The sequence below is a fragment of the Homo sapiens genome, chromosome 8, assembly GCF_000001405.40.
Source record: "Homo sapiens chromosome 8, GRCh38.p14 Primary Assembly".
Taxonomy (NCBI): Eukaryota; Metazoa; Chordata; class Mammalia; order Primates; family Hominidae; genus Homo; species Homo sapiens.
In genome coordinates, this window is record NC_000008.11 from 81650717 (window position 1) to 81674916 (window position 24200).

Consider the following 24200-nt stretch of genomic DNA (forward strand, 5'->3'; position numbering starts at 1 on the left):
CCACTGCATTCTAAACAACAGAGCAAGACACTGTCATTCATTCATTCATTCATACACACATACATAAAGTATTAAAAAAAAAAAACAAATCCCCCACACCTCACCTTTATGTGTAAGGTCTGATGAGTGATGTTGTCAACTCTGAGGTAGCTGGATGAGTGCTGCCACTTCGAGGTCAGGGATATGAAGGTATTTTACCAGTTATGAGAGACTAAATAAATGACAATATTATTACACTGCTCCTCAACGTAAGTAATGTATACTTCTCTCATACTGTTTCTCACATACCCCACCTCCATTACTTCATCATCCAAGCAAACAGTTTCTGAGGAAAAAGAACAGGAAAGTGGGCATATAGTAGTATCAAAGCACCCCCTGCCTTGTATCCCTAGAGATATGAAAAGCTCCCTGAAAGGTAGGCAGGTATTTGTAAACGTTTTTATTAGTGAGTCAATTATTTAATAGGGATATTAACATATATTGTTGGAAAAGTGTTCTCAGGTGTGATAAGGAAGTATTTTGTTTTCTATATGTTTATGATTAATAAACATATTTTAACAGCTGAACCTTTAAGACAACTGAAATCCAAGCCATAGTGTATACAGGGTGCCTACGGCTCTGCTGAAGGGAATGCTAGTTAACCCATGACCTGGAGTAATTCAATTTATGAAGAATTCTCTTGGTTTTAATACTATATTACTAAACTCAAATATTGGCTAATGAGGTTATTTGAAGAAAAAATAAAGTGTTTCAGAAATGGAAATGTTTAATATGATTCCCTGTGTGCAGTTTGCCATCTAGTGTTAATTTGTGGAAATAAAAAAGGCAGGTATAATAATTTCCAAGCAGGCTCATCAGGTGGCAAAGGCATGGCTCACAGCAACATTTCCTTGTAAAGGTATCAAGTCATACCCTAAGACCCTCTGAGGTTTGTTGAGGTGGGTGAGTAGGTGAGTTGGCTACTTCTAAGAAATCAGTTATTCTTGGAAAACAAAATAATTCTCAATCCTGGCTGCCTGATATTGTTACCTGAAAACTTAAAAAAATATACAGATGGCCAGGCGACCCTCCAAACCTGGTCAGTCAGATCCACTCAGGAGGGACCCCAGCAGTGGACGGTCTGTACCCTCCCCAGGTGGTTCCCATGTGCAGCTTGAGGGGGAGGATCCCTGGGCAGGGGGGTTAAGATTGCACACCCTCGCTGTGTCACTGCAGGAGTGTCACCACTTACCTGTGTCACCTTAGCAGGGAAATTGGGCTAATTAAATATGTGCTTTGGTACAATGAAAATAACTTCTCCTGGTGTTATTGTGAGGTTTAATTATCATCATGAATATTTAGTGCTTAACACAACACATGGTACAGTGCACTCAACAAATGCTAAATATCATAAATAACATTATCAAGGAAAATATTTTAAGAGCTATTTAGAGGAAGAAACTACCTAAGAAATGAACATATTACATATGACATATTAGAAATTAGAACATATTACCTATGAAATATTTCCATTCTTCTTAAACAGGTAGCCTTGTGGAATTGAATGCTGACACCCAGCTCAATCTGAAGGATGCCTCCTGAGACACATGTTACTTCTTATCCAGTGCTGACCTAAAGTGATTTCCAATTATTTCCAATCTGTCTTTGGGTTCAAAATTTCCAATACCCTAGCAAATTTCACTTGTCTTGTTGAGTCAGATATCCTCTTCTGAAGTAAACAGAGAACAGAGTCACACCAACTACAGACATGGTGACAGTAAGCACAGCCATTTGTTGGGAGCAATTCCCAGAGAAAGGAGAATCACTGTGACTTTATCTTCACACTCATAAAAAAAATTAACCTATTATTACTGTAAGCTGTTCTGGGCAGAAGGAATATCACCTGAAAAAGTTCAGAGGAGGCCAGTGAAGAGCTATTGGTCCAGTCTGGCAGGAGTATTCAGTGGGAATGTTAGGTGGGGTCAAATGATAAAAAAAAACTTGGCTATGAAAAATTGGATGTGAGGACTGGGGAAAGAGAAACATCAAATATATCAAATGCTAAACTTGAAAGGGCAGAGAAAAATGAAAACAGTTGAGTAGCAGAAAATTCTGAGCAAAAATTCATTTGTTTTATTTGAGACATATTGAAATCAAGTAGAGGATGGTCAGAAGGGGGCATCCAGGAAGGAGCAGGGCAGAGCAGAGGCAGTGGCAGGGAAGGGGTGAAATTCAGAAAGAAAATATGGGCTGTAGGTCAAGATTGAGTCAATAGAATGGATATGATGATTGAAGTCATGGGGCATGCATGAGTTTCCCTACAGTGACTTGATAGAAGAGAAACCACCAGCCCAGCCCGGTAGCGCAGGCTTGTAATCCAGCACTTGAGAGGCCAAGGGGGGAGGATCCTTGAGCCCAGGAATTTGAGATTCAGCCTGGGCAACACAGCAACACCCCATGTCTAAAAAGAAAAAAATTTGTTTAAATTAGCCGAGCATGGTGGCACCTGCCTGTAGGTCCAGCTACTCAGGAGGCTGAGGTGGGAGGATTGCTGGAACCCAGGAATTCAAGGTTGCAGTGAGCCATGATCAAGCCACTGCACCCCAGCCTGGGCAAGAGTGAGACTCCACCTCAAAAAAAAAAAAAAAAAAGAAAAAGAAAATCCATCTGTTACTGGTAGACTTTTGCATTGTTTACCGTTTAGGGCTCATATAACAGAATGCTACTACGAACATAGCTGTATGTGCCTTTTGGTGATATATGTGTGCATGTATGCTGAATAGGTGCAGAGGAATGAAGCTGCTGGATCCTATGACAAACAGATGATTAGCTTTAGTAGATACCACCAGAGTTTCCTAAAGTAGTTATACCAATGTACATCCCCGGCAATAGCATATGATGTTGGGGGGTTATTTAGTTTATGTGTTCACTGGATTTATTATTTGCTTTAGCCATTCTGATGTATGTAGTGGTATAAGATTGTTTTAATTTGCATTTTTGGGATGACAAATAACATTGAACACTTTTATTTTTTATTGTTTGAATATATAATTTTGTGGAGTATGTAGTAAAATTATTTGCCTATTTTGTAATTGGATCTTTTTTTTTTGCTACATAGGAGTTATTTATAGCCTCATTATAATTTCTCAGATAGATGTATTGCAAACTCTGTGGGTTGCCCTTCTCTCTTAACGGTGTATTTTGATGCAAACCTATTAATGCAGCCCAATTTGTCAGTCTTTCTTTAGGGTCAGTGCTTTTTTGTATCCTGTTTTTTGTACCCTGTCTTTGCCTACCAAGGACAGGAAGATATGCTATCTTCTAGAAGCTTTCTTTCACCTTTTATTTTTAGGTCTAGGATCATCTGGAATTGATTTGTGTGCATGGCATGATGGGACCAATATTCTATGTTCTCCTTTAATATGGATATCCAACTGCTTCCATACCACTTATTGAAAAGACGATCATTTCCTTACTACATTGCAATGACATCATTTTCATCAACTAGATAGTTCTATACATTTGGGTTTATTTCTGGACGCTCTGTCCCACTGGTCTATTTGTCTAGCCTTGTGCTAATATCACTGTTTTAATTACAGAGCTCTACAAGTCTTGGTATCTAGTGGTCTAGTCTTCTAACATTGCTCTTCTGCTTTAAAATGGTTTTAGCTATTTTGGGCTCTCTATATTTCATATACATTTCAGTCCTCCCTCTTTACTCCCTCCCCCAAGCATTACTGAGATTTTCTTAAATCTGCAGATAAATTTGGGAAGGATTGCCATCTGGGCAATATTGAGTGTCCCAAACCATAAACATAGTATATTATGCCATCTACTATGATCTTTTATATTTTTCACAGCAATATTTTGGCTTTGTAGTTTTTCCTGTGTGGAGTTTTTACATGTTTGTCAGAACAATTTCTAGGTATCTGATGGCTTTAAAAAACATTACTGTAAATGCTATCTTCACCAAATTCTATCTTAAGTATTGCTAGCTTATACAAATGCAGTTAATTTCTGTACACTGACCTTATCTCTAGTGACATCACTAAAGACACTAATTCTAATGGTTTGTCTGCAGATTCTTTTGGATTTTCTAAGTGGACAATCACATAGACTATGAAATATTTTTATTTCTAACAGTCAATCCCTCTATTTCCCTAATTTCCAGCTAAGGTTATAGATTTCCCTATTAGCAGTACTTTTACCAGTATCTCATACATTTTAGTACATTTATAAAACAAAGGACCATTAGATAGTTGAGGATGCCAAAAAATGAAAGAGAACAAATAAAAAATACAACCAAAGAACAAAAAGCAACTAAAAATTGAGGAACTTGAAAGGGACAATGCAGGACCTAGAATATGTTTTAAAATATATAAAAGAATATCATAGAAAGATAACATATTTAGTCAATGAAATCAGAACACAGTGATTTTTTAAAAGTTAATAGGTTGGAAGATAAAGATATGGAAATCTCCTAGAAACTAAAGCAAAGAGATTTTTTTTTTGTTTTTTTGTTTTTTTTTGAGATGGAGTTTCACTCTTATTGACGAGGCTGGAGTACAGTGGCTCGATCTCGGCTCACTACAACCTCCACCTCCCAAGTTCAAGCGATTCTCCTGCCTCAGCCTCCCGAGTAGCTGGGATTACAGGCGCCCGCCACCACGCCCAGCTAATTTTTGTATTTTTAGTAGAGACGAGGTTTCGCCATGTTAGCCAGGCTGGTCTTGAACTCCTGACCTCAGGTGATCCACCTGCCTCGGCCTCCCAAAGTGCTGGGATTACAGGCGTGAGCCACTGTGCCCAGCTGCAAAAAGATGTTAAACAGAGGAAATAAGTTGATAAATATAGAGGATTCAACAACTGAATAACAGAAATTCTAGAAAGAGAAGAAAGAGACTAAGGAAGGGGGGAAGTTACCACAGAAACAAAACCCTTAAGACTGGAGGAATTTCCAGCACAAAAAGACACGAAAAATTAACACAAAGAATGAAAAAGACGTAAGTCAATGATCATCACAGGGAAATCAGAAAACTCTAGATAAGAGAAAATCCTAAAATCTTCAACAGAAAAGAGTACACACTGATGGAGTGACCGTCACAACAGTGTCTCATCAGCAATGCTGAAAGCTCTGAGAGTGAAGCAATGCTTTAAAAATTCCGAGGGAAACACTGCTGCAACCTAGAGTTCTAGACCTAGGCAAACTATGAATGCAGCAAGCAGGAATAGACATCTGCTGATACCAGAGATCACAAAATTTTACCTCCCAAGTACCTTTCACAGGAAGCACTTGGAAGATGGGCTCATCAAAATGAGCTAAGAAAGACCCAGGATATGGAAAATTCAGCATAGAAGCAGAGGCAAGCCCTGAAGGACAGTGCAGCATACCCAGCCAGAAACCAGTTCAAACAGAAGAAAAGGAAAAGGGCCCCAAAAGGGCTATCTCCAGAGAGAAAAGAAAATAGTTCTCACACAACAGAATACTTAAGTATGGTGAACCAATGGAAAATCCTGGGAGAAATCTGTTAATTTCAGAAAGTATAAAAAGTTGCACAGGAAAGAAACTGTAATCATAACACACTACTTGCTAGCTAACCAATTAATAAAAGTCGTAAGTTAAACAATGGACATAATTTTAGCAAAAAATTTTATATATCACTATTGTAGAAGGATGGAAAAGAGGACAGAAAAGCAACTCATGGGGTCTGCTTCCATAATACCAAGTTAACTGAGATGGAGTGAAGCCAATAAATAAAGATTTAGTAGAACATATCTATCCTTTTCAAAGATGGAGGTAAATACCAGCAACAACTGCTAAAAGAGTTTGAGGAGATAAACTAGGGTGGGATAGAATGGAACAGGAAAATGCTGGTTTTCATTCTGAACTGTGTAGCAGTATTTGAAATTTTAAACTATGTGTGTGACTAAATAGACAGTAATAAAAAGTACGTATTTTTTCTAAATGAGGCAGGGTAAACATAGGGAACTGAGGTAAAAGGAAACAGTTTAAAATAATTATTTTTGTTTTCTTCAAACATGGTATTTTAGGCTCTACACTAGATCTTAAAATTAAGGACAAATTAGTCAGAATAATACATATCCCAGGAAAACTTCTGACTTAGCATTGTAAACCAATTCTAAGAATGGCTGGTAATTCATAACAAAGCCAAATAATGCTTCACAAGTAAGTATAGGATAGAATGAACACAATTTCGTTAAAAGGCAAGTACATATATTTTATGTGTTCAAGTACATATATTTATGTATATTTATGTATGTATCTGTGTATGTATCCACATGCAGAAAGATAATATACCCTGATACAAAATATACATGTTAAGTCTAAGAAGTCCTGTTACTCAAAGAAATATTTTCAAATATTATTAGATAATTCACTTGTCGATCATCCTTTTTCAGCATCTAAAGAAATTTCAGACACAAAATATGCAACTGCATTTAGAATAAACAGATGGAAAAGCTATTGTAGAAAAAAATATAGGTTTTTAGAAAAGTTGGAAAGATTACAGGCAAAAAATAAGAACATATATTAAATTACATTTGCAAGTTTCAAATATTTGTAACTCAACACAAAAACCTCTAAAAGTATGTTGGGTGCAATGGCTCACATCTGTAATCCCAGCACTTTAGAAGGCTGAGGCAGGAGGATCACTTGAGCCCAATGAGACCAGCCTAAGCAACATAGGAAGATTCTGTCTCTACAAAAACTAAAAAATTAGCCAGGCATGGTGGCATGTGCCTGTGGTTCCAGTTACTAGGGAGGCTGAGGTGGGAGGACTGCTTGAGCCCAGAAGGTTGAGACTGCAATGAATGGTGATCATGCCACTGCATTACTGTTTGAGCAGAAGAGCAAGACACTGTCTTCAAAAAACAAAAACAAAACAAAGCCTCTAAAAGTAGTTTGAACTATTAACTTTAATAATGTAAATATCATGGCCTGGCTCGGTGGCTCACATCTGTAATCCCAGCACTTTGGGAGGCCAAGGGGCCTGGAAAACATAGGAAGATCCCATCTTTACAAAAATAAAATTAAAACATTAGTAGGGCATGGTGGCATGAACTTATAGTCCCAGCTACTCAGGAGACTGAAAGAGGAGGATCACTTGAGCCCAGGAATTTAAGGATACAGTGAGCTATGACTGCACCACAGCACAGTCAGAGACAGACCCTGGGCAACAGAGCGAGACCCTGAATCTAAAAATAATAATAATGATAATGGTAATAATAATAAAAATATCAATTTAAAGTTTTATTCATGATCGTCTTATTAAAATAAATTTAATTGCAAAAACAACCTGTCTTAGAATACAGTATCAGATGTTTTAAGTACATGTGATCAACAGTACAAATAATTATAGCAGTCAAACCTTAGTATCACACATACTTAATATATTAGATATACACAATAATAAAATCACTCCCTACCTTGAAAACTTTACAGAAGCATTTTTAATTTTACAACACAAAGCTCAAACGAACCTACAATAAGTCTAGTAGTCTGTTTACGTGCCAAGGGATAAGGCTGAACAATAAATTAACCCTTTAAAAATGTCTATGAACAAGTACAATTTTCTTTTTGAGTTCTGCAGAGCAATGACCACTAAGAAATATTTTTAAAGGCTGAACAGAATCCAGCGGCAATGAAGTTAATTAAATAAGAAGACTAAGAGAAAAATAAACAGTTCAATATTAACAATACAGTATATTTGCCAGCACAATCAAATCAGTATAAACACCTTTAAAACATGAATACTGAACTTAGTAAAATGTTATATTGTATCTAATTATGTCAGATATCTGATGAGAGTGCTTTTTATTATAGAAATAGTTTCTTCTCTCTTACACAAGACTTTAAAGCAAATCCAAACAGACAATTTAACTGTTTTGGAAAATGTATTCACTGCAGAAATGCCCACAATAAGCCATGCTATCTGATGGTATGGTAATGTGAAATGGCATGGTAACGTGAAATAAAAAAAATTTAACTAGATAATTTTTACTTCAAACCTGAAGCAAAAGTACAGAATGCTGAGTTCATTACTTTATGTATCTATTGTAACTAGGAATTACTACATTAAAAATATTCATTCTTACAATGTTTGTTTTTAGTTGCCTAGATATGTAATGGGCCAGGTGCTATATGAACACTGAAGAATAAAACAAAAAAGGTTCTCTGCAAAGAAAAAAAAGTTGGCCTAGGGTACTCAGTATATCCTTACAAATTTAATTATATATGGTTTTTGAAACTAAAGAGAAATGTTTTTCCAAACAGTTAACTTTCTAAGTGGGTGTCTCTGCACCTATATACTAAGTCAAAATTTCAGGGGACCATAGATATTTAGAAACACAAAATTGCTAATTGACTATTTCAGTTGATGTTATATTTATCAACTGTACTTCCTGGGTATGTTTCCTAAAGTACATTCTTACATGCAAAATTTTTTAAATCAGTGAAACAAACATTATGTCAATTCTTGCAAACCTAGACATAGTAAAATAAGAAACAAGTTCCAAATTTTTGACCTGGACAAAGAGAATTTAAACCAAGCATATCATACATCCAAAACACATATCCATTGATGAGTCACCAAATCTGGGGAAAAGCAACTGGGATTGACTATGAGGCTGCCTTAATTAATCTTCGTCGTCTCGTTGCAAAGGTATAACCTGAATTTCTTTAGCTATCCTTTCTGCTAATATTCTATTATTTGCAGCAATTACTCTTCGTGACATCAAATCAAATGGTCCACCTAAAAGCAAACAAGTATGAAAAATAATTTTATCTGGTACAAAAATAATTCATATAAAACAAGTATAGCAATATGTACTATGGTCACATAACATTTTAATACTTTCAGTTTTCTTAAACAAAAATCTACTGTTACATTTCTACAATGTATAAGCTTAGACAATATATAACTGTTTCTAAGCATAATTTTTGAGTAAATAATGAAGTCATACCAGTTAGAAAATGTCATATTTTCTCTATTTTTGTGCATTCTTATTACCTCTTTATTGTTTAAGAATCTATGGACAGAAAATGTGAATCCAATGCATTTTCATACCACTGTCCTTCCCATTTCCTTATTTCTTTGTTGCCTTTCTCCCAGATCACTGGTGAATTCTTTCAGCACAGATTCACCCTTCGGTTTAAAATTTTCACCATCAGTTGAAAGCAATTATTTAACTTCTCTAGTCTCAACACAGAAAGTGATGGTGGAGGAAGTCCATCATCAACTATCACCATTGTCACCATTCAAAGAGCTCTGGGTATAAGCCTCAGACTCGGTGACTGTCTAGGCCAAGGGTGTCGAATATTTTGGCTTCCCTGGGCCACACTGGAAGAATAAGAATTGTCTTGGGCCACACATAAAATACACTAGCACTAATGACGGCTGATGAGCTAAAAAAAATTTTTTTAATCGCAAAAAACTCATTATGTTTTAAGAAAGTTTACAAAGTTGTGTTGGGCCACATTCAAAGCCATCCTGAGCCACATGTGGCCCATGGACTGCAGGTTGGACAAACTTGGTCTAGGCTTTTTCTACAGCCTTTCAGGAGTACCTGAAACTCACACTAGAAAAGGATTAGCCATTTATCATTGTAAGTCTCACATTACCATTACCTCTTATCCTTACCTCTATCTCCTAAAGCTTATTTTGATTTTGCACACAATTATATAGCTTGTTTCTGCTTCAAAAACTGCAGTATAACATATATCAAAAAGTTTTTTAAATTCTACATATGGACAAAAGTCCAACAGATGTGTGGAGATCTGCTTCACTCTCCATAATTTTACCTGTAACATCCATTAGCACGCCACCAGCTTCAGTAACAATAATGCCAGCTCCTGCAACATCCCAGCAGTGAATTCCCATTTCATAATATGCATCTGCTCCGCCAGTTGCCACAAGGCACATATTAACAGCTGCTGTTCCAACACTCCGGATCCTAACAAATAGAATTTAGAAATAAAATTGGAAAAAATAATCCTTTCAAGTAAGATATTCCTCCTTAACTTCACTTTAAGTGTCGATTGAAGAAACTTGGAACGATCTAGAGGATAAAGATTTTAAGAGGTGATATCTAATTGTAAAATAAAAATATGTATAAATCTAATTATCATCGTATATTATATAAATCACAAAACCCTCACAAAGCAATAATTTAATAAGATAAACATTAAAACAATAATTTTTCATAAAAAATAAAGACAATGCTTAATTCTACAATAATGAAATGCAAGTATATTAATATTTGTCTAAATCCAGCTACTAAAGCTTATATTATTTTACACACATATACACATACCCACAATGCAAATAGTCTCTAGGAGGTGTAAAATATCATGGTATGGGTCATTTTCAACTGGGTGTGCGTCATACATGTGCCTAAAGCAACAACAGCATGCCAGGCTCTGCAAAGACCTAAGCCTGCCTTGGAAAATTACTGCAGGTTTGCCCTCTCATAGCACCTCTTCCTTGAATACAAGTTAAGTTGAATATAAATACACTTGATAGCAATTATAGTAATAATTTATTCAGTAAAGAATCAATGTTAAAATTAATGGGTGAGTCTGATAATTTACAGAGTGTCAAAGTGTCTCTCCACAAGATACATAATAAGTACAATGGAAAAATAGCATCTTTACAATGGTCTACCATTACCAAGTTATCCAAGTTAATATCACTCATAATGGGACAAAAAGAAATGTGCCTGATAAAATGCACTGAGAAGGACAGAACATTACTTTTGCGGCATTCCTGCCAAAAATCCATGATCCAAATATAATCATGAGGAAACCAGACAAATTCAAATTCAAGAGACAGACTACAAAATAATTGGCCTATACTTCTGAAAAATGTCAAGGTGATAAAAGACAAAGACTAAGCAAGTTCTAAATTAAAGGAAATTGATGAGAAATGACAACTAAATGCAATACATGACTCTAGACTGGATGTTGGATTAAAATTTTCAAAATTTGAATAAAGTCTTATATTAGATTATGTATCCATGTTAATTCCCTTACTTTTATCATTGTACTGTGGCTATGTTAGACAATGTCCCTTTTATTAAAGACACACACGCTGAAATGTGTATTTAGAAGACAAACGTCATCATGTCTACAAGTTACTTTCAAGTGGTTTTTACACAAATTCCTTCTCCAACTGTTTAAAGCGATGGTAATAAGGGAGTGAGTTCTGTTCAATGAGATCTTTCACAGTTTATTTATTTAAAAACATGGAAAACTGATGACTAATGTGGCATTTGTTTTATATCTCAAAAATAAAAATAAAAAAATTGCACCTAAGTACATCCTTTATGCCAAATAAATTTTAAAAAGGATTAGAATAACATGATGTCATTGATTTGGCATGTTTTCCATCATATGTTTTTGAAGCACATTAAATTTGAGAAAGTAGTAGTAAGTGCACCAAATTTCCACAGATGTTTGTTTCCCAGATAAATAAAATCAAATTAACTTTAGTGGCAGTTTTTTAGTTATAAAGAAAAGTGCATTTCCCCACTTCTCCCATGAGATATGTGATATTTGATATCTCATATCATAGAATGCAAATACCAAGGTCTTTCATAATTAATTCCCTGGTACTCTATTCAGATATAGAATCCTAGGCTAGCCAAACAACAGTGATATCTACTAGCGGTGCTTCCGTCACTTCTAATGAGCACCATGGGATCTCAAGCAAATGGTCTTACAATCAGCAAGAGAATATTCTTTTATGGAAAATACTATGAAAGGATTACCAAACAGATTACTTAACTACCAGATAATTAAGACTATGGTGTAGATTCTGCACTATGTGTTCTGAATCCTATCTTATGTGGTCCTCCTATACAGCTGTGGTCCGCCTATGCAGCTAACATGGCACATTGTAAAAAGGATTATGTTTGATGTCACAAAGATTTGAGTTTGCTCCCATGTCATGTCATCAAATAAGGATTCCAATTTACTTTAGACAAATGTACTAATGACTACAGCTAATATTTGTAAAGCACCTAGCAGAGTGCCTAGCATATAAAATGTCCATAATAAAAATAGCTTTTTTTATGATAAAATTGTTCTCTAAACCATGATGTCAGAAAATATCATATACCATACATAGTGAATTTCATCTACATGAATTCCTGAAAATTAAACAAAGGAAATTGATCCAGAATAACGTACTTTGCCTCATAAATGTTGGTTCTTAGGAACCTATTAGACTATTTCTGCTTATTTAAAGCATTCATTCAGATTATAACTCTCTTTAGTTTCATTGTTTTGTATAAGTGATTCTGAAATCCCACTGCAAAGCTGAAGAATCAGCTGAATGCAAAAGATCATAAAAGCAATCAGTAAGTCAGTACTTCTTAGTAATATTTTCCTGGTTATACTTTTGAAAAAAATCTGAAGTAAAAATTAGTTTTTATTTCAGCCAACAGCAAAATTAAAGGTTAAAGTTGTAAACCTCTTGCAACTCGTTTATGAGTAACATAACCATTTTATAGCCCATGGTTAAAGTCCTTGCTTCAAGACAGCACACTGTAGCAGCAAGTTTATTGCCCTTCTCTCAAGGGCATCATTCTGGGAGGTTCTGTAGCTATTGACAGAGGCTCTCTTTTACTTTACTCATTACTATATAGACCACATATGCATAGTACATAATTAGTTTGTACATGGTCAACCTATATTTTGAAGGGTCTGACTTCTAAGAGAAGTCCAATATTGAAGAAACAGAAATGATCTGGGAGCCAGGATTCTAGCCCTATTTCTATCCAGCTGTGCGATCTCAAGCAGCCACATCACCTACTTGAATCTCAGTCAACTCACCTACAAAATAAGGCTGGATTATTAGATGATCTTTGATCAGTTCTAGGACTCTTATAACTCATTGATAATATTTTCACAAAGAAAAAGACAGAAATAGTAGGTGGTGAAAATATTATGTTGTTATTTACATTCACCAGATTTTGTTCAATAAAGGATTTTTATTATGATTTTTCATATAAACAACTATGGTCAAAGAAATACTATTTAATGGCGGGGCGCAGTGGCTCAGGCCTGTAATCCCAGCACTTTGGGAGGCCAAGGCAGGTGAATCACGAGGTCAAGAGATCAAGACCATCCTGGCTAACATGGTGAAACCCCATCTCTACTAAAAATACAAAAAATTAGCCAGGCGTGGTGGCGGGCACCTGTAGTCCCAGCTACTCCAGAGACAAAGGCAGGAGAATCACTTGAACCCCGGAGGCGGAGGTTGCAGTGAGCCAAGATTGCACCATTGGACTCCAGCCTGGCGACAGAGACTCCGTCTCAGAAAAAAAAATAAATACATAAAAAATAAAATAATATATAGCATTAACTATATTAAAGTTAAGGACCTCAAACCTTTAGCTTTTCTTGAAGATTTAAGGATAAAAGTAAGGATAAATATTTCCTTTTAATTTCTTCATTTATTAAACTGTCATTACAGAGGGACTCTGAGATTTGGAGAATAATAATAGCATGACGATTTTGAAACTCCCTGTATACCCTCCTGGAAAATAATAAAATGAAATCAACCAGGAGGACAAATAAAACCCATAGGACCCATTCTTTCAGATAGAAATCAGGAAATGCAAACTCTCAAACTACCTCTAAGTAGAAGAAAAACAAATAAATAAATTCTAACAGAGCACCGGAAGCCCGTAGATACACAGAGTAGGGCAGAGAAGGCAGAAAAGACTTTGTGAGAAAGAACAAGGAGGAGCAGAGGACCCACAGGGAACAAAGACAAAACCACCCTCAGAAAAGAGTCACTGAGACAATAAACACAAAAACAAAAACACTGAGCACAGATCAGCACTTGGTAATTCATAGTCTTGGCTAGAGGTAAGGGGCTAGAAAACACTCAGAACCTGACCAGGCAGCCTCAGAGAAGCTGTGATTCTGAAGGAGAATCAAATAAGATAGCAGAGATGGTACTCCTTGGAAACAAGTGAAGGAAAAGTAGGAACTAAGGGGTGCGGGGACGGGGGAGGGATAGCATTAGGAGATATACCTAATGCTAAATGACGAGTTAATGCGTGCAGCACACCAGCATGGCACATGTATACATATGTAACTAACCTGCACATTGTGCACATGTACCCTAAAACTTAAAGTATAATAATAACAAAAAAAAGAAAAAGGAAAAAAAGAAAAAAAAAAAGAGTGAAAACTTAAGGACCCTGCAGAAATGAATGATAAACAAGACAAGCCAACTCTATCTACAACCAGCAGGTATTCATAAAAGAAAATGCACAGAAAGGCACAACTGGCAAAATAAGAAATTCAGAAAGCAGGAACCCTGATCACAAAACGAAGTGAAAATAGAAAAAAGTAGACCACATTCACACAAAACTACTGCAAAACATCGAACGCTGTTAATAAAATGGTTTTGTTTTTTCTTTTTGCTGTAAAGTCTCTCCCCCAAAACCAACAATGAAGGGGAATAAAATGAATATCAATCGAATCCGAATTAAATATTTTCAAACAAAAACTTGTGAATACTGAAAAAAATGTTACATCAGCGATATAGAAACTAAGAGCACAAATGGACCAAAATACGTACATAAAACAAGATGACTGAACTCAGGAAAGAAATGGGGGGGAAATAAAAGACAAAATTATGTCAGGAACGAAGAATAAATTACAAGGTGCCAATAAAAGAACAGATGATAAGAAAACTTAATAAAGAGAAATTAGGAAAAGCAATAAAAGAAAGAAGTAAAAAGAGACAGAGAGAAAATGGCTGAAATGAAGACACAAAGGAGATGGAGCATTCCCACTGGTGTCTTTAAAGAAAAAAATAACAGAAGTGCACTAGTACTTAAACTATATCTTAAGGAAACTTCCCAGAAATTAAAAAGACATGAACCTATATACTGAAACACACGACTGACCCAGAATGAGCAATTCTAAGATATATCCTTTAAAAACTGTTAGCCAAAAATTCAGGGGAAAAAAAACAGCCTCCAGTTAAAAGATAAAATAATGTAAAAGCCAAGAAAAATTAGATTTGCATCAGATTTCTCAAAAACAATATACAAAGCAAGGCAACAGTGAAAGAACATTTTCAAGAAATTTATACTTTCATTAAGGATACTATATCCAGCCAAGCTGTCCTTCAAGTCTCAAGGCCACAGAAAAGCATTTTGGAAAATACCCAAACTCAGGGAAAACTGTGCACATGTGCCCTCCCCCAAGGAATCTACTAGAGGACGAACTTCAACCAATTAAAAAGGTGCCTGCAACACTTCACAAAAGGACTGTGAGCATTTTATAATGTTAAATGAAGAACTAGGATCAAAAAGCGGGGTCATGGGTTGAAGAATATGTAAATATAATATGTTCTGGCAAAGTAGACAGAATGCAACTTTAAAAATGGGATAAAGAGAGAGAAAAGGGGAATGGGAGACTTACATAGGCAATAGGCGAAGCCAAAACATTCTAGATAGTAAATAGTTAAGTAAGAAAATAATATTAAAGGTACTATAAAAGTTGTATTACAAAAGAAACCTGCTGGAATAAAATGTAATCTTTATAAATACAAAAATAAATTTTAAAAGAGGCAGAGAAGGCACATCAAATGAACGCAGTAACTATAACATCATACAGACAGTAATTATACCACACAATAATACAACAGAATTGAGACAAAAACAGTCATATCAATAAATCAATAGGCCTAACCTATCTGTTAAAAGAAAAAGATTTTCAAATTGACTTATAAAGTGAAATTCCATGCAATGCTGTATATGACAGGCACACTTCAAATGCAGTGGTTCAAAGGACTAAAAATAAAAGGGTGGACAAAGATTTATCAGGCAAACAGGAAAAATAAGAAAGCAGGGGCCAGGCACAGTGGCTCACGCCTGTAATCCCAGAACTTTGGGAGGCAGAGGTGGGTGGATCACTTGAGGTCAGGAGTTCCAGACCAGCCTGGCCAACATGGCGAAACCCTGTCTCTACTAAAAATACAAAAGCCGGGCATGGTGGTGCGTAGCTGTAATCCCAGCTACTCAGGAGGCTGAGGCAGGAGAACTGCTTGAACCTGGGAGGCGCAGGTTGCAGTGAACCGAGATTGTGCCACTGCACTCCAGCCTGGGTGACAGAGGGAGACTCTGTCTCAAAAAAAAAAAAAAAAAAAAAAAAAAAGCAGGAATTGCAATTCTGATGTCAAAGTAAATTTCAAGCACAAAAACATGAAACAAGACAAAGAATACGTAAAAATTACACAATGAACTACGTATGTAACTATTATGAATAAACATCAAATAACACAGCTTCCACCTACATAAAAGAGTTGCAAGGAGAAATACAGAGAAACACACTAATAATAAAAGACTGATACATCAGAGACTCTCAGTATAAGACAGGGCAAATAGACAAAAAAAATTAATTAGGTAAATCTTTTGGCTATATACTGAATGTCATACCCTGGAAATAGGGAATTATACTATTTTTCAGTGCATATGAAACTTACAAAAATTGATCACAGAACAGGGCACAAGGAAACCATCAGTAGGTTTCAGAAAGTAGAACTGTTAAAATGTAATAAAACTGGAGATTAAAGATGAAATTTTTAAAAATCCAAAAAGGTGTCTGCTATGGTTGAATGTTTGTCCCCTCCAAAACGCATGTTGAAACTTAATCCCCAATGTGGCAGTACTGGTGTGGGGTCCTTTTAAGAGGTATTAGGTCATGAGGGCTTTGCCTTCTAGGTTCATGGCTTATAGGTTAAGGGTGGGGTGATGCTGATTAACAAACAGAAGCGGCTTTGAAATGGGTAATAGGTAGAAGACAGAAGAATTCAGAGGAGCAGGCTAGAAAATGCCTGCATTTCCGTGAATGAAGCATTAAGGGAGATTTTGGTGAGGGCTTAGAAGACAAGGCCAGGGAAAGTTTGGAATGCCTTAGAGATTGAGTTAAGTAGCTCTGACCAGAATGCTAATAAAAATAGGAACAGTATTCTGATGTGGTCTCAGATAAAACTGAGGAACAAGGTATCGGATCCTGGAGGAAAGGCCATCCTGGTTATAAACTGGCAAAGAACTTGTCTGAACTGTGTCTATGACTAAGGGTTTCTTTTTTTTTTTTTTTGAGATGGAGTCTCACTCTGTTACCCAGGCTGGAGTGCAGTGACACGATCTCGGCTCACTGCAAGCTCCGCCTCCCAGTTTCACGCCATTCTCCTGCCTCAGCCTCCGGAGTAGCTGGGACTACAAGCGCCCGCCACCACGCCTGGCTAATTTTTTGTATTTTTAGTAGAGACAGGGTTTCACCGTGTTAGCCAGGATGGTCTCGATCTCCTGACCTCGTGATCCACCTGCCTCAGCCTCTCAAAGTGCTGGGATTACAGGCGTGAGCCACCATGGCCAGCCAACTTGACAGGGTTTCCTGAAAGCCTAAACTTGAGAGTAATGAATTAGGGTATCTGGCAGAAAAAAATTTCTAAACAAATTATAGAAGTAGCTGCATGGTTACTTTTGACCATTTATGCTGAGATTTGCAAGCAAAGAAGTAATTTAAAGACAAATGAATAATTAAAGGGGAAGCAGAGTGGCCAGATGCAGTGGCTCACACCTATAATGCCAGCATTTTGGGAAGCCAACTTGGGCAGATCGCTTGAGCCCAGGAGTTGGAGATCAGCCTGGGCTGCACGGCGAACCCCATTTTTATACAAAATACCACAAATATAAAAATTAACTGGATGTGGTGATGCAAACCTGTGGTCACAGCTACTTGGGAGGCTGAAGTAGGAGGACTGCTTGAGCCCAGGAGGTTGAGGCTGCACTGAGCTATAATTGCACCACTGCAATCCAGCCTGGGCAAGAGAGTGAGAACCCATCTCCAAAAAACAAAACAAACAAACAAACAACCAAAAAGAAAGGAAGCAGAGCAAAAAAATTTGGAAAACTCAGCCTGGCCAAGAGTGAAAAGGTGTGTTCAAAGGAGGAAACCGAGGGTTAGCCAGGAACCATTTGCTAAATAGATTAGCACAGCTACAAGGGAGCCAGGTGTTACTTCTAAAGACAATGAAAGAAAGAACCCGAAGGCATTTAAGAGATCTTCAAGGCTGCCCCTCCCTTTACAGGCCCAAAGGAGGGTAGAATGGTTTCATGGAACAGGCCTGGGATACTCTCCAATGCTGGCTGCCCAGGGCCACCCTAGACTGTGCTCCCTACATCCCAGCCAAGGTCAAGTGACCCTAGGTGTGGCTTATACCACATCTCTACAAGGTATAAGTTGTAAATGTTAGCAGTATGATACTAATTCTGCAAGCTTGCATAAAGGAAGAGCTGTAGAGGCTTTCCAGCCTCCACTTGGCCTCAAAGATTGTCCTCAGAAGCCTGGGAGCCAGGGAACAGACTTGTCTCAAGGGCAGAGCCACAGTGGAACTGTGGGGTTAGTGGTAGCTGAGAATCTCCACCAAGGTAAAGCCTAGTAGAGCCCAGGAAGTAAGGCCACCACAGAGAGTCCCCACTAGGGTAATGCCTAACTAGTGGAGCCATGAAAGCAGGACCACTACCTGGGCCTCAGAACTGTGGAGTCACCAGCAGCATGCAAGGTACACCTTGGAAAGCTTCAGGCACTGGACTCCAACCCATGCCAGTAGCCATATGGGCTGTACCCTGCAAAGCCACAGGGGCAGGGCTGCCAGAGGCCTTTACCCAGCCCTCAACCCCCAGTGTCTCCATGAGGTGGTACATGCAGTCAAAAGTGATTATTCTTGAGCTTTAAGATTTCATGTCTGCCCTGCTGGAATTCTGGACTTGCCTAGCGCCTGTTCTTTCTTTTTGCCTAATTTTCCGTTTTGGAATGGGAATGCCTGTCTTATGCCTGTGTCACTATTGTATCTTTGAAGCAGATAGCTTGTTTTGATTTCACAGGCTCACAAATGAGACTGTGGACTTTAAACTTTTAAGTTCATGATAGAACAAGTGAAGACTTTGGGACCCTGGGGATGGAATGAGTGTATTTGTATGGAAAAAGACAAATCTGGGGAGTGTCAGGGGTGGAATGCTGTGGTTTGAATGTTTGTTCCCTCCAAAACTCATATGGAAACTTAATCTCCAATCTAGCAGTACTGAAAGGTGGGGTCTCTAAGAGGGCTATGCCCTCATGAATGGATTAATCCACTCATGGGTTAATAGATTAATGAGTCATCATAGGACTAGGACTGGTGGCTTTATAAAGAGAAGAACAGAGACCTGAGCTAGCATGCTCAGCCCCACCATGTCACATTCTGTGCTGCCTCAGGACTCTACAAAGAATCCAGCAAGAAGGCCCTCATCAGATGCAGCTCCTCAGCCTTGGGCTTCTGAGCCTCTATAACTGAAAGAAATAAATTCCTTTTCTTTATACATACACATTACCAAGTTTCAGGTATTATAAGCAACAGAAAATGGACTAAGACAGACTCTCCTTGTGAAAATTTAAGAATATAACTCTCAGTAAAAGAGGAAATACAAGCAAATTACAGAATTTATGAAAAAAATAATGAAAACAGTAAGTATCAGTATTTATGGGATACAATGAAAACAATGATCAGATGAAATTCATAGCCTAAATATCTACATCAATAAACATAAAGGAATTATAATAAATTTTCTAATCAAAAAGGAAAAAAAAGGAAACAAACCAAAAGAAAGCACGAAGATGAAAATAATAGTGCAGAAAAGAAAAAACCAGCTTAAATTAAAATCCTGGTTCTTTGAGAAAAAAGAACAAGAAAAAAAGCACAAATAGACAAAATAAGTGACAAGGTGGAAATAACCACTGATATAGAGAAGCCAGAAATTAATTATAAGAGTCTATCTTACAGACTTCTATGCAAATAATTTGAAAACTTAAAGGAAGTAATTTCATAGGCTGTGGAAATGTTCCAGATCAAAGAAGGCTAAGGAGACATGACACCTAAAAATAATGCTGACTCTAGACTGAATCCTACTTTATTGGAAGGCAAATGCTATAAAGGACATTAGCAGATTAACTGACAAAACTGAATATGGATGACAAATTAGATAAAAAGTGTATTTATGAAATCAGTGGTTTCATGGTTATGGAACAGAATCTCCCTATTCTTTAGAAACCATGATGTATATAATTTACTCTAAAATGGTACAGGAAAAAAAAAAGGTGTGTGCACACACACACGTATACAAAGAGAGAGATAGAATAATGGTAAAGAGCTTACCCATGAACAGGAATGCAAAAAAGCTTTTCCATATTAGAAAGAACCATTCTCACAGTCTCTGGTGTTCTGGAAGAGCCCAACTCAGTCACCAAGAGAGATTTGGTAATATCTAAAAAGAAAGTGTTAGGTTTCAATATTTAGACTTCTAGAAAATACCTGACACTTGTAATTCAGAAGAGGGCATTTGTATCCCTCTTCCTTGTTTTATCGTGTTTCTTTATAAGCATTTAAATAATAAAATACTGATAAATTAATTATCCCTATGTGATCCTTTTTATAAGCATCAGAGTCCAGCTGCTTAGGCCCTTCCTGAAAAAGTACATAATGTAACCAATTTGCCTGCATACATAATACTTAGTGGGAAACAGCAAATGTCTTAAATATTTAAAAAGGAGAGACTAAATTCAATAAGGGATTTATGTATAGATTTGGAAGAAAACAAATTACAGTAAAATTACAGTAAAAGTAAAAATTTTACTTTTACAACAAAAGTAAAATTCTCTGACATCCATTTACAAGGCTGACAGGTTATCCAAGGTTTTCCATTTGAAGCTCAGGACACACCCAACACCCTAGATCTCACCTCCTCCCACCAATGGAGATGTATGTTCACCAGCTGTGTTTGATCTGAGCATTTCTGTAACTGTTGTACTACATTTAATAGTTACGTAATTTAGGGCTGGGCATGGTGGCTCACACCTGTAATCCCAGCACTTTGGGAGGCGGAGGCAGGCAGATCACGAGGTCAGGAGTTCGAGACCAGCCTGGCCAACATGGTGAAACCCCATCTCTACTAAAAATACAAAAAATTAGTTGGGCATGGTGGTGCGCACCTGTAATCCCAGCTACTCCGGAGGCTGAGGCAGGAGAATAGCTTAAACCCGGGAGGCGGAGGTTGCAGTGATCCGAGATCACGCCACTGCACTCCAGCCTGGGCAACAGAGCAAGACTCTGTCTCGGGAGGAAAAAAAATAAAAGTTACATAATTTAATACTTTGTAAAGTGAAGAATGACTATGCAAAGGAAAAGAGTTGTTTCTATCAAAGCTACCATATTCCTTCGGTCCAAGATTTGTATTTTCTCACATGATGACATCTAGAAAAATAAGAATGCATCCTCCATTTCATGGGGTCTTAGATTTTAATGAAAAGGAAATAGCCTAAAAATCTGCTCTTAAATTAAGTGTTTGAGGGAAAAAGGTATAAAAGTCTAGAAAGATTCTAAACTCAAATTGTTTTGCAAGTACCTCTAAGTTCTTGCTGCACTGAAAAGAATTTCAATGTGCAAACTGTGGAAAATGTTTGGTGTGGTTTATGGAAGAACAGTAACTCAAAACCTCAATAAGCTGTGAGAAAGAAAAAGAAAAGTTTTAATCTGCAGAATGCCAGTACCTTTAAATTATCAAGCCTGAAGAGGCATTTAAAATATACCAGCAGACAGTCTCACTCCCCTGGAGTTAAATAATTGCCACTTGAAGCCGCTTGCTACAGGGGGCTCTAGACTCACTGATGCCAAGCAGCCATAAAATGCCATGCACCCTATAATTCAACAGTGTATAGCCAATCACTAAGCAATGTTATTTCTGTAAACAAATGAGAATTCCTGAGTACAACTTTTCTCATCATCCCCTCTCCCAGTGTGTCCCTTTTTCTTTAAAAACCTGAGCCTCTGCTAAGTTCTCTGGAGCACTCTCCAAGGTAATCTAGAAGTGTGTCCTGGGCTGCAGTCCTCAACTTTGGCCCAAATAAACTCTCTACATTAATTTTGCCTGCACTTCCTTTTTTGAGGCCAACAGATGTAATAGAGAAGAAAGAACTTAAATTGCCATTCAGCTTATAAAATATATATGTCTCATTTTCAGTGATTCCCAGCTTTAACGGGCTTTTTTTCCACCCATTTACTTTGTAGTAATTGGTCCTGGGGCATCAGATCAGAGGAATTCTATAAAGAATTTTAGAAGCAGTAGATAAAACATAAACCATGAATTCCACAAGGACAGTGTGAAAGGAAAATAAATCTGAGGACCCAAAAAACACTAAGCCAAGGGAAAAGTCAAGCTGGGAACTATGTCAGGCAAACCTGCCTCCCATTTAATTCCTAAATAAGACACCTACAAAGACAAAAGAGCTACATACCTCCCTTACAATTTGCCCACAAGGAAATTCCTTGTGGACCTCAAGATCTTTACCCTAAAACAGTTCTGGCTGAATTTTGCCCTGGCAATGTAGACTGATAGCTTATCTTCACAGGTGTGGGAGAGAAAGTCATCCCTCTGCTCGCCTGAGACAAATTCATATCTGATTGCTTCATCTGCCCTATTGTTTATGTAAAAATGCAGATTCACTGAGCCAGACTCAATTGTGTATTTAAAGGCTGATTACGGACTTAAAAGAATATAATCATTTGTCTTTTATCTACCTATAACCTGAACACCGCCCCCTTCCCCACTTCTAGTTGTCCTGCCTTTATGTACATCTTACACATATTGATGTTTCACGACTCCCTAAAATGTATAAAAGGAAGCCGTACCCCAACCACCTCGGGCACATGTCGTCAGGACCTCCTGAGGCTGTGTCACCTTAACTCCTTAACTTCGGCAAAATAAACTTCTAAACTGATTGAGACCTGTCTCAGATATTTTGGGTTCACAATAGGAAGCCAGTCTTAATCATCTTCCTATCTCTATCACAAAATACAATGCTGAGCCTGAAGTGTTTGCTCAATTACATTTCTTTCCCTACTTCCATTCCACATTCAAAGCTGAAGTCAAAAAGAATAAAGAGATAATAAACACAATTTATGAATCAGTTAACACCTGGAGAATTCCATAGGTGAATATTAAAAAACAATAAAATATTGAGCACACAATATGAATAGCATCAAAAATTGGAATTAATCCTACCTTCTTGTTGTGAAACTTGTAGTTTTTGACCATTACAAAAGGCACCTTTTCCTTTTCTGGCAGTGTACATCTTGCCTTCCACACAACTGTACACAACTCCAAATTCTATCTGCAGAGGAAAACAAGTTTCCTTTACCAAACCTAAGTATGTTTCATCCACTTTTTTCTAAGAAAATAACAAGACAATCTGGTATACTGACTAGTAACAATGGACTGAAATGGCTAAACTGTGGGATACTTAAAATGTTAATTTCCAGACTAATCAAGAGAAAGAGGTCACCAGAACTGATATCCTTGACTCTCCTCCCATCCAAGTCCAGATCTAAGAACACCCACCTTACTTCTCTTCCTCCTGCTTCGGAAGACAGGGCTTTCCTATTTTCTAAGTGAACGCTTCTCCGGTGTTAGGACTCCTACCCTCACATACATTCTCTGAAAAACTGCTCCATCAGCTGATTCCCTAGTCTCTTGGATTTTTCTTCTTATACCTTCTCATTAAGTTTCTCTCCTCCTTACAAAACCTTTGAAATGTTATTCTATCCTTTTCCCTTCACTGCCAATGAGTAACTTTGCATCTCCTATTCTCCTCTTAATACATTACAATGTGGCTTCTGCCCTGATCACTCATTCTTCTGAAAGTCCCACAAAGAGAGTATCAACAAACTTTCTTTGTTGCCTCAAATGCCTTGTCTGAAGAATTGGAGTCTACTGGCTCAAGACTTATTCAATACTTAATTCACTACCTCCATGCTCCCACCATTATTCTCTTAGTTCTACCTCACCTACTAATTCGTTTCAGTTATGATTTTAGAACATTCTTTTCTGCCTCACCCTGAAAAGTTAGGCACCTCAGGCTTTTTTCTTCCTTCTCCCATTGCTTCCATTTCCCTTTTAGCTCTCCATATTCACACAGGTTGGTTTTTTACAGTCCACAAATTCATTTTGGCTCCCATCAACCTCATAATCGGGGGAAGAACCTACGGTTCCAAACCTAGTCTTGCAGAATTTCAAAGACAAAATCATTCATTGCCTGATCACCTCCCATTCCTTCCCCATAAATCTCCTTCAAATTTAAT

At 37.3% G+C, this 24200-nt stretch overlaps 1 protein-coding gene across 3 annotated transcripts in view; it reads right to left on the reverse strand.

Annotated features, from left to right (window-relative positions):
• The window catches only part of IMPA1 (inositol monophosphatase 1), a 29412-nt gene continuing 11409 nt past the window's right edge, over nt 6198–24200 (reverse strand). For 2 of the 3 annotated variants that reach the window (NM_005536.4, NM_001144878.2), the window contains 4 exons: nt 23125–23233; nt 20223–20331; nt 9800–9951; nt 6198–8750 (listed from right to left, as the gene is read on the reverse strand). In NM_005536.4, coding sequence (NP_005527.1) covers nt 8635–8750; nt 9800–9951; nt 20223–20331; nt 23125–23233 — 486 coding nt within the window. In that variant the 3' untranslated portion in view covers nt 6198–8634. The remainder of the gene's footprint in view (nt 8751–9799; nt 9952–20222; nt 20332–23124; nt 23234–24200) is intronic. The other variant, NM_001144879.2, reaches the window with a different exon arrangement.